General features: G+C 40.1%; 1 long non-coding RNA gene and 1 pseudogene across 1 annotated transcript in view, besides 1 other annotated feature; one reads left to right on the forward strand and one right to left on the reverse strand.

Annotated features, from left to right (window-relative positions):
- The window catches only part of LINC00624 (long intergenic non-protein coding RNA 624), a 135,684-nt gene that overhangs the window by 95,063 nt on the left and 23,820 nt on the right, over positions 1-16,801 (reverse strand). The window lies entirely within an intron of this gene.
- Positions 4,984-5,374, forward strand: OR13Z3P (olfactory receptor family 13 subfamily Z member 3 pseudogene; annotated as a pseudogene).
- Positions 9,661-9,828: a silencer, noted in NCBI's record as "fragment chr1:146958668-146958835 (GRCh37/hg19 assembly coordinates)". NCBI's record gives its function as "represses an EF-1alpha promoter that drives an FKBP-Casp9 reporter gene in an ReSE screen in K562 erythroleukemia cells {active_cell/tissue: K562}" and the evidence as "EXISTENCE:reporter gene assay evidence [ECO:0000049][PMID:32094911]".

The raw sequence follows: 16,801 nt of genomic DNA on the forward strand, positions 1-16,801 counted from the left end.
TGACTCTTAAACTGATATCTTCAGCCTTTCTCCTGAGTACCAATCCTATATTTTCCATTATTGACTGGGCACTTCCTCCTGGAGTCCCACAGCACTTTAAATTTCCAAAATGCATTCATTATCTTCTTTCCAACACCTGTTCTTTCTCAATAATTCCCACTATCATTTAATGACACTCCTAGACTGTCCAAATTGGCTCAACAAATTCATACCCACCCATGGACTCTAGGATGTTCAAAAAATGGCTTCCATGCACTGAACTATACCTTCAAGGACTCTCTTCAAACTCCAAAACCTCTATCTTCACATCACAGACCATTCTATTTTTTTGTTTGTTTGTTTGGTTTTTTTTGAGACAGAGGAGTGCAGTGGTGTGATCTTGGCTCACTGCAGCCTCTGCCTCCTGGGTTCAAGCGATTCCCCTGCCTCAGCCTCCCGCGTAGCTGGGACTACAGGTGCACACCACCACGCCCAGCTCATTTTTGTATTTTTAGTAGAGACGGGGTTTCACCATGTTGGCCAGGATGGTCTTGATCTCTTCACCGCATGATCCTCCTGCCTCGGCCTCTCAAAGTGCTGGGATTACAGGCATGAGCCACTGCACCCGGCCCAGACCATTCTCTTTAAATATGGTTCTAGGTCTACCCACTTCCTGGTCTAAATGAGGAATTTTGAACCCCAGGATCTATTGACTGCTATGAAAACTCAACAGGTTTTGTAATTCTGAAGTTCCTTCTTGAAATTACATGCAAAATGCCATGAATGTAGGTAAGTTCATTTTTCTTAGTCCTTGAACTGCATTATGCTTTGCAATCCATCTGTAGTCTATGGACCGTTGACTCACCAAACAGATTCACTACTCAAAACAAATTATTGACTCTCGCTTTTGAAAGAGATATCAGTCCTTACGTATACACATGGGCACCCTACTGTTATTCATAAAGAAAAATAATGATGGTCAAATGTGGCAGACTGCCACAGTTACTACTTGAGACCATCACTGTGACAGTTTCTACTGTTACTACCTGAGACCGTCATTATGACAGTTACTACTGTCACTACTTGAGACTGTCATTACAAGACTGAACAAAGGGACAAACGCAGAAATGAAAACTTAAGACAAAAGAAATCTGTTTTAAAGAAAGGGCCAGGGGAAGAAGAAGAGAGCTCCCTGCTTCTAGTGAGCAAGGGCAGCCCCCTCCTCCCGGAGCTTCTACAGCCCTTTGTATTTATTGGGTAACAAGAGCAAGGAGGCGGCAGTAACAATTGGTCGGCTGCTTAATTGATCACAGGTTCATATTATTACCAAGAGGCTTCAGATGTACCTAATCACAAGAAACGTTGCACTTGGGGTGTGACTGCCCTCAGCACTACTTCTGGGTGGCATACACAGTTTGTCAGTTTGCCAACATTCCGCATTTATGAGAACAGTTTGCTGTTTACTCATATAGCCTCCAGTGGTATACTAAGTTAATCACGACCCTCAATCTTTTGGCCTCCAACAGTCAAATCTCTGCCATGCATCACTGGCCACAGTGTAGTCATCCTTTGGGGCCATTACCAGTTTCTCTGAGCACCAGGCTTTAGGGCCTTCTCTGTCATACCATTCTTCATGAAATAAGATGTCTGGAATAGCTTTAACCTCATCTTCATCCAGGGAGTGGAAGACAGCCTTCCAGATATGTCTTTATCAGTGTGAGTTCACCGTGACATCCTCTGGGCTCTGCAACATACCAACCAATGTCCTTACATGATAAGTAGCATTTTGAGTGGCCTTGGAGTAGGATCTATTAGTACTTAAAACACATGCTAATATCTTCTCCTACGCTGACATCTCATGGACCCCTGGGCAGCACTTAATTACCGATTTCAGAACTGCCCCCAAATCAATTGTAAGAGCATTTAAAGATTCTGGACACAGTATCATTAGCCATGCAGTCTATGTGATAGTGAATGTATTAGCTTCCTCTTGCTACTATAACAAATTACCACATACTTAAGGGTTAAAATAACACAAATATATTGTCTTCCAGTTCTGGAAGTCAGAAATCCTAAAGTGAAGATATCATTAGGGCTGCGTTCCTTGTGAAGGCTCTGGGACCGAATCTGTTTCCTTGCCTTTTCCAGTTTCCAGAGGCTGGCTGTATCCCCTGACTCAATGGCCCCTTCTTTACTCTTCAAAGTCCATCATTCCAATCTCTGCTTCCATCATTACATGTTCTTCCTCTAACTTTGACCCACCCATCTCCCTCTTGTAAGGATCCTTGTGATTACATTGGGTCTACCTGCTTAATCCAGGATAGCGTCCTCATTTCAAAATTCTTAATTGAATCACACCTAAAAAGTCCCTTTTGCATTCACAGGTTTGGGAATGCTTATTATGTCTACCATAGTGAACAAGGTGGCAGTCTTTTTAGGGTAAAAGCCTTCCCTTATTTCTGTTACTAAGAGTGTTAAAGATATCTAGGTTTCCCAGTTACTATCGTCAGCTCACTTTCTGCTTTTTCACCCTGACATCTCCAATACTGACCCCTTTGAGAAAGGTGATTTTTTAATAGGTGGAAGATGATGCAGTGTTTTGTCATATTTCTCTCTGCTGTGACTAAACCTTGCTCTGACTATGCACGGTCTCACTGGTAGGACCATATACCTTCCCCAGGTGAATCCTAGTCTCTCCTCGGCTTATTTAGTACAAAAGCTAACCTGGATAAAATTTAATACCTGATTTGGTAGGTGGGCCCAGTGTGCTAGACACGTGTAAGAGCAGAAAGTAGATTGGTGCAGTTGCAACAGAGTGAGCAAAAGGTAGAATGGTTTAAAATGAGGTCAAAGAGCAGCCATGAATATCTGAGGACTTGGACTTTACTCTGCTTGATGTGGAAAGCTACTAAATGGTTTTTAGCCAAGAACTCCCCTTTCCAATCTATGGGAAGCATGGGGATAGAACAAAGGTGAAATAATAGAAAACAGCAGACTATTGCCAGTAGGTGAAAGATTTTTTTTCTACAGGTGATGAGAATGTATTGAAAAACTGAGCACAGGTATGAAATAAAAATATTTACATCTATAAAGAAACACCCTGGCTGCTATGAGAAGAAAAGACTAATAGAGGTAAGGATAGAGGGTAGGAGATCAGTGGAGAGGCTATTGGATAGTCCAGGGGAAAGAAGATGGTAGATTGGACTAGGGTGTTAGCAGCAGAGCTGGTGAGAAAACAGGTGGAAAGCACTCAGAAGAGAGTGCTTTCTGATGAGACTATTGTATTTTAAAAGCTTTTTACATGGACTGATATGTAATCTAATTTAATCCTTCTAAAACACATATGAGTTAGATACTATGATCTTTATCATTCAGATGAATAAACTGATACTCAGGGACGACAGTTTCTAGAACACACAGAGACAAAGCCAGGACTGAAATCTACCTGGCACCAAAGCCCACCCTTTCCATCATAGTTACACTGACTCCAATTCTAGAACAGATACACTGCAAAATAACCCAGCATGGGTTCAAAGTTTAAGTTAATAAACTAGTAGAAAATTGGTGGTCGTATTGACTGCTCTGTTAGGAAAGAGAAAATATTTAACAGAGGATGTCTGGGGTTAGTAACAGTTTATATCAATGAGAAAATATTCCAGAAGAAATTGGCATAAAATTAATTGGCTGATTAAAATTTCTAAGAACTTATGCACTCTGAAAAGAGAAATCATATTATTAGGAAAAATGAAGTCTATACAAAAGAAAAAAAGTTCTCTCAAAAAAATTCTCAAGAAACCTTTTAAAAAACACAGAACTCGCTGGGGTCACCCCAGTAATTCCAGCACTTTGGGAGGCCAAGGTGGGCGGACGACCTGAGGTCATGAGTTCGAGACCAGCCTGGCCAACATGGTAAAATCCCATTTCTACTAAAAATACAAAATTAGCTGGGCTGGTGGTGCATGCCTGTTAATCCCAGCTACTTGGGAGGCTGAGGCAGGAGAATCACTTGAACCCAGGAGGCGGAGGTTGCAGTGAGCCAAGATTGCGCCATTGCAGTCCAGCCTGGGCAACAAGAATGAAACTCCCTCTAAACAAACAAACAAACAAACAAACAAAAAACCACCGAACTCAAACATTTATCTTAAGGAAATTAGCAAAAGATGGCATATAATATAAAAAATGCTCATCACAATACTTCTATAAAAGAAAAATCATGAACACAACCTAAATATTGAACAATGTGGAATAATTAAATACAATTTATATATATTTCCATATAATGGAATATTACACAGCCATTGGAAATTGTACATTCAAATATACTGAAAGCTATGGAAAATGTTTGTGCTACAATATTAGTTTTTTATGATGAGATTGGCGTGCTGCCCACTGTGCTGAGGATGAAGATACTAGTTTTTAAAAGATACAAAAATTAAATATAAAAGTATCTATTTTGTGAAGATATGGACACATATACAGATATAAATGAAGACAGAGACACAGAAAGAGAATAGGAGAGAAGAGAGGGCGAGAGGAAAAGAGAATGAGAACATAGCAAAATACATTGAAGTGAAACATTAATTCGGAAGATGTTAAGCATCTTTTTGTATAATTTTTATTCATAAACATCTATTATATTCATAATGAGACCTTTATATAAATAAATTTAAATAATATAGTGAAAGCAATGCTAAGAGGGAGGTTTATGTAGCCTTTGGAAAGTGAGCTCACTCTAACACACAGATTCACACAGGTTTGAACTAGTGCAGTCATACAAACATGGGAGCTGCCTGAGCCTGAGATGGCAAGGTCCATCCTGTCAGGAGAAGTGGTGGTCTTCCTGAAGGCAGCCCTGCTTGCTTTTCTCCACAGTCCAGGCTGCTTTGCTCCTAAAGTCATTTGGCATAACCCTACAAGTTTACAAAACTCACTTAAGATGCTCTCTGTACATTTTCATTATGGTTTATTTTTTCTCATTGTTTTGTAGGTGTGATGCCATTTGAGTAAACAATCAATCACATGTCAACAAATTTGTCTTCTTGGGATTTGCCAACATCCAACCTATAGGGCTTGTTCTTCTTGGTCTTCCTGGTCATTTACCTGACTACTCTTCTGGGGAACAGCCATAATAGGACAAGACTGACCCTGGTAGCCACTGTAATAACAGCCACCAGGGTCAGTCCTGTCCTCCACACTGCAATGGGTTATTTCCCCAGCAACCTGAGGTTCTTAGACATCTTCTGTATGTGCACCACTGACCCAGTCTGCATTGAATATTCCACATATATAAGGTCAATATCTGCTTCACCTTCTTTAATATTACAGGGTTAGAGATTTACAAATAAAACTAAGAAGTGTACCACATGCCCTACAAGAGGGGATGTCAACTTTTAGTACTTCAGTCACCCTTTTAGGAGTGCTTTATCCATTCTTATAACTTTAAAACTCTTATGTCTGCAACTCTCAAATTTATTTTTCCAGTCTATACATCTCTCCTCGGCTTAAGACTTAGAGATTTGACTGCCTCCTTGACATCTCCTCCTGAATGTCTAGTAGGCATTACAAATTTATTATGTTCGAAATGAAGTTTTTGGTTTTCCCTGCTCTTTATTTGATCCCCTATTCATCTTCCACCAATTCTCAAACTATATTCAGCATGCAATCCGTGACCTAATGCTGTATTTCTGAAGACTATCCCTTCTACCCTACCACAAACCTGGGCAAGCCACTAACAGTCTTTGCTCAGATTCCTGTAATATTTTTCCCATGGTGGTCAGGCGCAGTGGTCTGTAATCCCAGAACTTTGGGAGGACAAGGCGGGCAGGATCACCTGACATCAGGAGTTTGAGACAAGCCTGGCCAACATAGGGAAATCCCATCTCTACTAAAAATATAAAAGTTAGCCAGGTGTGGTGGTGGGCACCTGTAATCCCAGATACTTGGGAGGCTGAGACAGGAGAATTGTTTGAACCCAGGAGGCAGAGGTTGCAGTGAGCCAAGATTGTACCACTGCACTTCAGCCTGGGCAACAAGAGTGAGACTCTGTCTTGAAAAATATATATATAGAGAGAGAGATATATATGTGTGTGTGTGTATGTATATATAATGTGTGTATATATACATATACACACACACACACATATATATATACACACACATATATATATTCCCCTCATAGGTTTTTCTGATTCCACTCTTACGTCATTGTAATTCATTTTCTACAAGATAGCCAAAATGATATTTCAAGAATATCAACCGGAAATCACATCACCAACATCAACACCAACACCAACGCCACCAAGGTACATTATAATCAAATTGCTTAAAAAGAAAAACCTCTGATAAACAAAGTATTGAAAGCAATCATAGGAAAAGACATTATATACAGAGGAACGAAGATAAGAATTATCACAGAGTTCTTGTCAGAAACAATGCAAGCCAGTAGGCAATGGAGTGATATAAAGTTCTGAGGGGAAATGGTCAGCCCAGAAATCTACATCCAGTGAAAACATTAAGCACTTTGGGAGGCCGAAGCAGGCGAATCACCTGAGATCAGGAGTTCAAGACCAGCCTGGCCAACATGGCGAAACCCCATCTCTACAAAAAAATACGAAAATTAGCTGGGCGTGGTGGCTTGTACCTGTAATCCCAGCTACTAGGCAGGCTGAGACAGGAGAATCACTTGAACCCGGGAGGCAGAGGTTGCAGTGAGCTGAGGTCGTGCCACTGCACTCCAGCCTGGGCAACAGAGCAAGACTCTGCCTCAAAAAAAAATGCAGCTGTAGTGAGTTTTACTTGGAACTTTATTACATATTCTTGGTTTTAGGGCCAGAACATGCATAATTGGGTGAAATCACGTATGTGAAGTATTGTAGCCTACTAAGCCTGAAGTTCTGCAAACTCTCCTTCTCTCTTACAATAGAGCCAGCAGATTTTTTTTTAGTGAGTAAATAAGAAAACAATACAATCTTATGTGTCTAGAGCCTCATAACATTTTTGAATTTCTTTACTTTAAAATATTCCCATTTTTATAATATTAAAATACAGCACTATTAGCTGTAATTTAATGAGCCAAATACTTTGAAAGCACTTCCCCCAAATCATCTCATGTACTCGTCAATAATAAGTTTGTGAATTTATTATGAGCTCTCATAGAAGGCATTTGGATGTCCATACTTACGCATATGGGCTCTGTCCTGGAGATGAAGTTCAGAAGCACTTAGACTGTTAGTAGCCTTATTATCTCACAAGGTTAAGTTAGTGAAATTTAGCATGATTGTAACTGAGCTATGTTCTGGCTCTGGGGGGACTCCAGATGATTCCTGAGATTATTGTTCCTCCTGTCTGGTACCTGCAAGCCTCTCAAGCCAGGGAGATAATTCCTTATTATAAATGGTCGAGGTACCTGCATTCCACCAATCAGAGCTCCAGCTTCCTTCCTTTTTGTGTGCATTCCAATCCATAGTGAAAGAAATAAGAAAGGCCAGGGCTGAGAATGGGGAAGATTGATTAGAAAGAGAAAGGAGGGAGCTTTTTGGGCAATGGAAGTGTGAGAGAGAGAGAGAGAGAGAGTGTGTGTGTGTGTGTATGTGTGTGTGTGTATGTGTCTACGTATATATAAAATACAACATATGTAATATATATATCTTATTATAATAATGTAGCCCCAATAAAGTTGATTTTAAAAGTATGCTTCTTACCTTAGGTTGTAGGGGTTCTATATAATCTGGCTCCTGCCTCTGTCTCCAACCACTCCTGTCTCCTGCCACTCTCCATCTATCTCATACTGGTCTTCTCTTTGCTCTGTTTCAGTTACAGGGGGTCGCTCTTTTTTGACAAAGCAAGGCCTTTCTTGCTTCAAGGACTTGGCACTTGATGTTCCTTCAGCCTGGAGTGCTTTCTCCTAGCTCTTCCTATAGCCGGCTCATTCTCATTCTTAAGATTAATCTCAAATACTCCTTTCTCAAAGAGGTTGCCTTTGCCATTTTAATATAGCCACCCCCTCCCCCATACCACTCCTCCTAATGCCTTGCTTGGCCTTCACTATCATGAAGATGAACATGTAAATATAGATCTTCCAAACACGACCAAATGATTTTGAGAATCTGTTTATCAATAATTTGTTACTTTTTAATGCTGATTAGTATTCCATTGTATAAATAAGCCACACTATTTTTATCCATTCACCTTTTTTGATAGAAATTTGGGTCATTTCCAGTTTGGGACAATTACAAATAAAACTACAATAAACATTTGTGTGTTTTGGGGGACACATTTTTCATTTCTCTTGCAACATTGTCACTCAGAAAAGACAGATATTTGCAAAGTTTCTCATGTTACAGAACACTGTTACCATATTCTGAACTGCCAAGTACTTTTGATGGGAGATGCTTGTCTTTAAATAACATTAAACAAATAATAATATTTGAATATCCAAGAAATATCCAGATTGAAATGGTGAAAGACAGAATAATTTATAGACTTGGTCATTTTTCCTAGAAACATGACCTCACAATTTTAACTGTTAGTATAAACTGATAGTATAAACAAGCATTTTAAAGATCACTTTAAATATCATTTTAAAGTAACAGTGTTCCATATGGATATCTACGGAAAAATACATAAATTGTGGTATATTCATACAATGCAATATTAAATAAGATGTGAACAAACTAAAGCTACATGCAAAAAATATAGATAAATTTTACAAACATTAAGAGAGATCATGTGATACTTCCGGTTCACCTTATATTTTTTCACCAATGGTATACAGCATATAAAGTTCTCTATTTTCAATTAAAGAAATGGCACATCTATAGGCACTAACAAAGAGGTAGCTCTAAACAACCATATTATATCACATGACCCTTCATCCCCCACCACATATTTTGGACAGTAGATGTGTGTCTGACCCAAGAGCAGTCAATCCATAATTAAAGCAAACACATGTAATCCATGCTTAGTAAAATGAAAACAAACACAAGCAATTTGCACCCAGTGGACTCCATGCTTAGCACAAACACTACAAATAATAACAAGTTCTGTCTTGAGAAGTTTCATAGAGAAGATGTTTCTAAAGGGGCCTTGAACAAAGGACAAAAGAAACGTAAATATGACGGAGGCTGAAAATGAAATATATTGACTCACATCAGTAAACTAGCAAAAGGGAAACAAAGTATACTTCAGAATAAAACATATAACCAGGAATAAAGAAGGGTATTTATAAGGATAGAAAGGTCAATTCTTCGAGAAGTTATACCTAAGCCTAAATGTTTATGTACTTTAAAGAGCATCAAAAACTGACAGACCTGAATGAAGAAACAGATAAATCCATAATCATAATAGCAATTTCAACATCCTTTTTAATCGCTGATAGAAAAACAGGTGATGATAGCTTTAAAAACTACTACAGAACACCAAAGGCTGTGAGTATTCCAGCTACCAACCAGTAGTGGATCTTTCATTCCCAGCAATGGGCTGGTGATCCAGTTCCAAAATCCTTTTTAGAGTCTGTTTCCTAGGACTATTCTCAATATTTATTATCTTAAGTCAGGTTCCTCAGGAAACAGAGTCAGACAGAGATTGGTGTTCCCAGAGACCCATCTCTGGAACATCACGGTAAAGGCAGTGAGAGGGGTAGGGTTGGGCAGACAGAGATGCAGCGCCGAGCATCACTCCACTGTGATGGAGCCGTGACAGAAGCCTCTGCTGATCCGACATGGAGCTGCAACGACTCTTCAGAGTTGTCTCAAACTGAGGTAATGGGGCTGGGCCTTTTTTCTGTCACATCAACCACGCATTGGAGAGGAAGTGCCTCAAGTAAGACTGTTATCTTAAGCAAGACAGGTCCCTGAGGGCAATTCTTAAAGAGGGACTTTGCTGTGAGCTGGCAGAGAACTGCCTCAGTTCTGAGGGGGATGTGGCCAGCACATCACAGCAGTCACTACATAAAGATCTGAAGTTTAGCTTTATTATGTTTGAAATGCCTATTAAACATCTAACTAGAAATGTTAAGTAGCCAGTTGAGTATAAGAACTTGGAGCTCAAGAGAAAGGCTGGGCTAGAGACAAAGTTGCAGTCAACAATATTTGGGTGACACTTTCAAAACCTTGAGGCTACGTGAGATCACCAAGGGAATTCAAAGAGAAGCAGTTCAAAACCTGAACCTTGGAGCACTTCAAAGTTAAGAGTTAAGGAAGAGTAGGAGCCACCTAAGGTAAATGAGGAGGAGGAGCCAGTGAAGCAGGAAGAAAGCTAAGAGTACGGTGACCAGGAAGCCAAGTACAAAAAGTGTTTCCAGAAAAGAGGAACAATCAATGATGTCAAATGTGGCAGACAGGTCAAGGGAGATGAGGACTGAGACTTGACCATTGGATCTAAACATGTGAAAGTCACTGGCCGTCTTGACAAGAACAGTTTTGGTAGAGTAGTGGGGGTGCAAGCCTGACTGGAGTGAGTTTACAAGAGAATGAAAAGAGAGGAATTAGAAGTATTAAGAATAAATGAGCTGCTGGGTGCCGTAGCTCACGCCTGTAATCCCAGCACTTTGGGAGGCCGAGGCAGATGGATCACCTGAGGTCAGGAGTTCGAGACCAACCTGGCCAATATGGTGAAACCCTGTCTCTACTAAAAATATTTTTAAAAAATTAGCCAGGCATGGTGGCAGATGCCTGTAATCCCAGCTACTTGTGAGGCTGAGGCAAGATAATTGCTTGAACCCGGGAGGTGGAGGTTGCAGTGAGCTGAGATGGCGCCACTGCACGCCAGCCTGGCGACAGAGCAAGACTCCGACTCAAAAAAAAAAAAAAAAAAAAAAGAATGAATAAGCTGGTTGTGGCATTTACTCTAAAGGGAAGCAAATAAATGTGATGTAGCTGGAAGGGGAATGAGATTAGAAAAGAAGTTTTACAAAGGATAAATAACAAGAGAAAAATAATTAGTCAAAAGAAACAAATTGATAATGTGGGAGAAAGGGGATAATGCTATAGTGATGGCCTTGAGTGGAGGACAGTGTATGAGATGGCGCATACTTGGAGAGGTTGGTCTAGTTAGGGGCACAGACACCAGGTGGGGAGGCAGAATATATGGCAGTTAGTAGGAGTATTGGGTAAGTTCTTTGATTACTTTGATTTTCTCTTCAATGTTGGAAGCACTAGGATCAGCTGAAAGTGAGGATGGGGAGGTGTTGGAGATTTGAGGAGACGAGAGAGAGTATACAATCATCTTGGAGAGTGAGAAAGTAAATGGAAGAGAGATATAGTATGATAGGCGGGCAGCGTTAGGCCCACTTGAGGTTTGTGGTCATTAATTGAAAATGGGAGGAATAAGCATGATTGTGCTTCTCCACTGCAGTTATTCATCTGTAAAATGGGGCTATCAGTGCCTTTCTCCGTCGGGTTGTTGGAGGATGTGAGGATTAAACATCTTAGTACAGGTAACATGCCTGGTACATATCACTTAATGAGTGTTAATTATTGTCCTGTAGAGTACATTGTTATCTTGTGTACATATCTCTGTTTTGATCACAAATAAGTGGACTCATAGAACTAAAGGTTAAAAATCATCGAGTCCAACCACTTACTTGATAACCTGAATTTCATCTACATCCTCATTCGGCCTTTGTTTGAGCTGCTTAGGGTAGGGCACATATTCTGTCCCAAAGCAGTCATTTCATCTTTGGACATCTCAAATAACTGGAATGGTCTTCCTTCTTTCATAGTGAAATTTGCCCTGTGGTAACTTTCACCAAAACTTACCCATTGGGCCACACTGAAAAAATCATCCTTGTCTATGGTTCCATCTCTCCTACAAACGGCACTCTTCATGTTTGACTATAGAGCAGACAGCATTCTGTGCAGCCGGTCTCAACCTTTTCAATACACCCTCCAACCTTTCCTTCCTTATCAGTATCATTTGCATTTGCAGAAGGAAAAAAAAGTCTATTTTTCAATACTTTCACCCCCTGGAGCCACATTCTTGTTAAAGTGTCTGACTTTGTTACCTTGCTTTTTTCTGCAGAGAAAAGTGGATAATCTGCTTTTTTCTAGTCTAGAACAATTTTCCTTTACTGCGTTTTGTAGAACACTGTAAGATTCTAACGATTGTTTCACTTAAAGACGGTTTAACACAAGCAAATAATTTTGAAAAACTGTAGTCAAAATTGCAGTTTTCTCATGTTGAAATAGCTAACATATACTATCAATTCCCAAAAAGGTAGCTGTAGTGCATTTCCTAAATGTATTTGTTAACAAAACATTTTGTTGTTGTTGCTGCTCATTTCCTGGAACTAGCATTCCACAGAATAATCTTTGGGAAACACTCATTCAGAAAAACGTCTCTTAAACTTAACTAACACATGACATATAAAATGTTGGCTTATATTACATGTATTATAAAGTTGCATAAATATGCACAATCATAAAACTAGGTGTTAACGCCAATCTTTATGCTTATAGTTCTTATATAAGCAACTATATAACTATAAAACCAAATCAATTTATAAAATAAATATAAGTAAAACAAATGAACTTCAAATCGACCACATTAAGTTAATGTGATATGTAATATTGCTTTGTTTAAACAAAATCACCAATGCAGAGTTTATTGATAATGACATAACATATTATTATTAACGGTTCTTTTTTATTTTGTACATGATACACTTGCATTTGAATCAATAATATGATTGCTGATCATTTCAGTTTTTTAAAAAGAAACTCATAACCACAAATTTATTTTTGGATAGGTCAATCAATTAAGGATTCACTTCCAAATAAAATACTATAATTTTAAAAAACTTTTTGAACAAAAAAATTATTGTATATTTATTTTCTTCTGTTGAACTGTATCAAGTTGGTATGAACAAAGAATACAAGTAAAACATTTAAAATATTGATACCATATGAATGTACTCACTATATGCACAGATTCTTTTTTTTTTTTTTTTTTTGAGACGGGGTCTCTGTTGCCCAGGCTGGAGTGCAGTGGAGCCATCTTGGCTCACTGCAACCTCCACCTCCCAGGTTCAAGCGATTCTCCTGCCTCAGCCTCTTGTGTAGCTGGGATTACAGGTGCCTGCCACCACACCCAGCTAATTTTTGTATTTTTACTAGAGATGGGGTTTCACTGTGTTGGCCAGGGTGGTCTCAAACTCCTGACCTCTTGATCCACCCGCCTTGGCCTCCCAAAGTACTGGGATTACAAGCGTGAGCCATCGCACCCGGCCAGATTCTTTAAAGTCTGACATTTCTATTCTTCTGTCACGTGGTTGTGATAGTCGTTCTCCCAGCGCTTTTACTTTCTTGACCTAGTGCAAAACCTTCATTCACAGGACACTCTAGGATATTATTTAGACTTCACTTGGCAGAAATATAATAATAGACGCAAACTCAGGCACTAAAACTGGGTGACCATATTCAGTTTTTAAGATAATTATCTATAACCCAGAAAATTTTTATATTATTTTCAGAAATTATTATAAAAGTGGAACCAATAATGGGAAAATAGAGATGAGGAGCTGCTGAAATGTCCATAATGATCTTTGCAGAGAGTGTGGATTGGCAGCCTCTGTTTTTTTGCACAGGGATGAAGAGAAACAGCTCAGCCGAAGTCTCCAGCACTCCCTTTTCTCCTCTACAGTTCTCCACCCACCCACCGGCCCAAAACACACAGGAAAGAAAACTGTCAGGTATATTTTTACATTCCTCACACCAGTGTGTTTCTTCCATTTGAAGCTGTAAGGCTTTTTAATCTATTATTGTAGAAGAAAGGCTTTTCCTCTCATTAAAGGGAATTCAAGTTCAGACTCCCTGGACTGATAGAGGATTCTGGATTTGGGGCTGGAGAAGATATATACTGTGATTTTCTCCTTAGAATTTAAGCTATAGTTCGGGATAAAATCTAAGCTAATGCTAATCTAATCTGAACTCTAACCTCCACTTGCAGGTGTAGGGAGTGTGATCTGCCACAAGACACCCCAAGTTCCTTTTTCACAGTGCCCTGTCCCCCGTACCAGAGTTGTCTCCAGCCTTGTGCTTTCTCCCTGCTTGCCTCTCCTGTTTCCTCTAGGGGCCCCCCCTTAGTCCTCCTCACCCTTCACCCTTCCTGCCCAAGGAGGAAGAAATTCCTCTAGGACCATGCTTCTGTGGAACTGGGAAGTGGTGGGCTGGCATGAAAAAGAAATGAAAGGCACCTCATCTAAAGAGAAGCTCAACTCCTAAGAAATAACATGCTTGCTTTTTGTCTTTCAACTCTTGGATGATAATAAACACACTAGGACGTTGAAGATTACAAAACACAGAACGTGGTCTCCAGGTCCACACTGATGATCTTTAACTACAAAAAAAATAGTGGGCAACTCTGGTTCAGCTAAATGGGAATATGTCTTAATGGTTTTCTCTGGATAGTAACCTCTTTCATTTACCTGCATTTCCTAATCTGAAAATCTCTAAGAGGTCAATATTCCACTGAAGTCAGGCATGGAAGGATCCTTGCCTCTTCTTCAAGAAAAAAGAAGGAAAGATAAATAAAACTGCACTCTGGGACTAAGAGCATGCAACTCAGATACTTGATACAAGGCATGCTCCGAATTCCTTTCTGTATAGTAGTGTTCACAGTTTTTTCTTCTCATTTTTACTTTTTAATTTCTTAACTTTTTTCTCAGTTGTTCAACAAACGTTTATTAAGCCCCTTTCATGTGATGGGCTCCCTGCTAAGTGTTTCCGGATTTAAAGAAGAAAAAGATTGGTGCCTGCCTTCGAAGGACTTTCAGTCTAGAGACAGACACTATACTATAAACTATAAATAGCCAAGTTAACAAATAATTTGCAATACATAATCATTCCTTAACTTGTTCAGAGCTGGTATGCCCATCTACATTTCCTTTATTTTTTATTTTCTGTTATAATCTCCACAGAGCAAGGCTCACCCTGGCCTGCCCAGGTTCTGCAGAGCTTGCTTACAATCTTTCAGAGAAGAGCATTCAGCATAGCTGCTTTTGATAATGAAGATATGGAGCTTTATATAATGACAACTGATCCATCTATAGATTGCAAGCTCTTTGTGCAGGCCTGTGTCTAATTGTCCATTTTGTATAGCAGCTAATCCACTGGGAAAATACCTTAAGTGTTTAAAAAAAAAAAAATGTGTAGCAATATTCCCCTGCTGCCACCTGGTGCTTTATTTACACTAAGTTACACTCTGAATTCTAGGTAAGGCAGCTTAAAATCATTTACCACACTCAACTATAAAATGAAATCCCAGCCCCTCAATACACACGCAAGCACATACAAATACATACTGATCACACATACATACACTCCTTCATTCCTTCCATCTCTGCTAGCCCAGAGCAGACATTTCTTCATGTTTTGAAGAAATGCTACTATGATAGCCAGAATTGAATCTTGAGAACTATGTTCAGTTAAGACTAGAGAATAGGACTAAGATAGTGTAATTGAAAAAACTTTCTGCTAGGCCGGGTGCGGTGGCTCACACCTATAATCCCAGCACTTTGGGAGGTCAAAGCAGGTGGATCACCTGAGGTCAGGAGTTCGACACCAGCCTGGCCAACATGGTGAAACCCCATCTCTACTAAAAATACAAAAATTAGCTGAGCATGGTGGCATGCACCTGTAATCCTAACTACCCGGGAGGCTGAGGCACAAGACTCCCTTGAACCCGGGATGTGGAGGTTGCAGTGAGCCAAGATCGCACCACTGCACTACAGCCTTGGAGACAGAGTGAGACCCTCTCATAAAACAAACAAACAAACAAACAAACAAAATATAACTTTCTTCTTTCTTCTGGATGACAAAATTGTGTGCTATACTGACGAGCCTGTGTAAAGAGTTAATGAAGCAGGCCGGGATCATCAGCTGTCAGTTAATTCATCATGAAATATTTTTGAAGACCCATAATTCAAAGCTCTGGAGAATCAGTGGTGAGCAAGAAGAATACCTTCTATGCTCAAAAGGAAGTTATATTCTAGTGTGGAGAGTGCTGTTAAGCTCCTAAACAAATTTTTAAAAATCAGGCAGGAGTAAGGGATAAAAAATACATAAAATATGGGGCTATGACTCAGGCGCTGCTTCCGTTAGTGGGGGCAGGGATGGCCCCTCAGAGGAGGTCACATTTGGGACTCGAGGCAATATTGATCATGAGGAAGACAGCTGTGTTAAAATCTAAAGGAAGAGCATTTCAGGCAAAAAAATGACAGCACAGGCCCCACGAAGAGAAAGACTTTGGTATCTTCAGGGAAGGCGGGAAGGCCGGGGTGGCCAGAGCAATGTGAGATGAAGGAGGGGTGGGTGGAGAAAGACTGGCTGGTGAGCGTGGGAGGGTTGGAGCAGGAGTGCCAATAGATTAGGGATTTGATTTGGTTCTGTAAGCAAAGGCAAAACCACTAGAGGGATTTAAGTAAGGGGGCAACACAATCTGTGCTGCTCTTCTGAATAATCACTCTGAAGGATGAATTCCAGGGGGAAGAGTAGAAGTCCAAGACCTGTTAAGAGGCTATGGCTGGCTGGGCGTGGTGGCTCACGCCTGTAATCCTAACACTTTGGGAGGCCGAGGCAGGCGGTTCACAAGGTCAGGAGTTCTAGACCAGCCTGGAAAACATGGTGAAACCCCGTCTCTACTAAAAATACAAAAATTAGCTGGGCGTGGTGGCACACACCTGTAATCCCAGCTACTCAGGAGGCTGAGGCAGGAGAATCACTTGAACCCGGGAGGCAGAAGTTGCAGTGAGCCAAGATCGCACCACTGTACTCCAGCCTAGGTGACAGAATGAGACTAGGTCTCAAAAAAAAAAAAAAAAAAAAAA

The sequence above is a fragment of the Homo sapiens genome, chromosome 1 (genome assembly GCF_000001405.40).
Source record: "Homo sapiens chromosome 1, GRCh38.p14 Primary Assembly".
Lineage (NCBI taxonomy): Eukaryota > Metazoa > Chordata > Mammalia > Primates > Hominidae > Homo > Homo sapiens.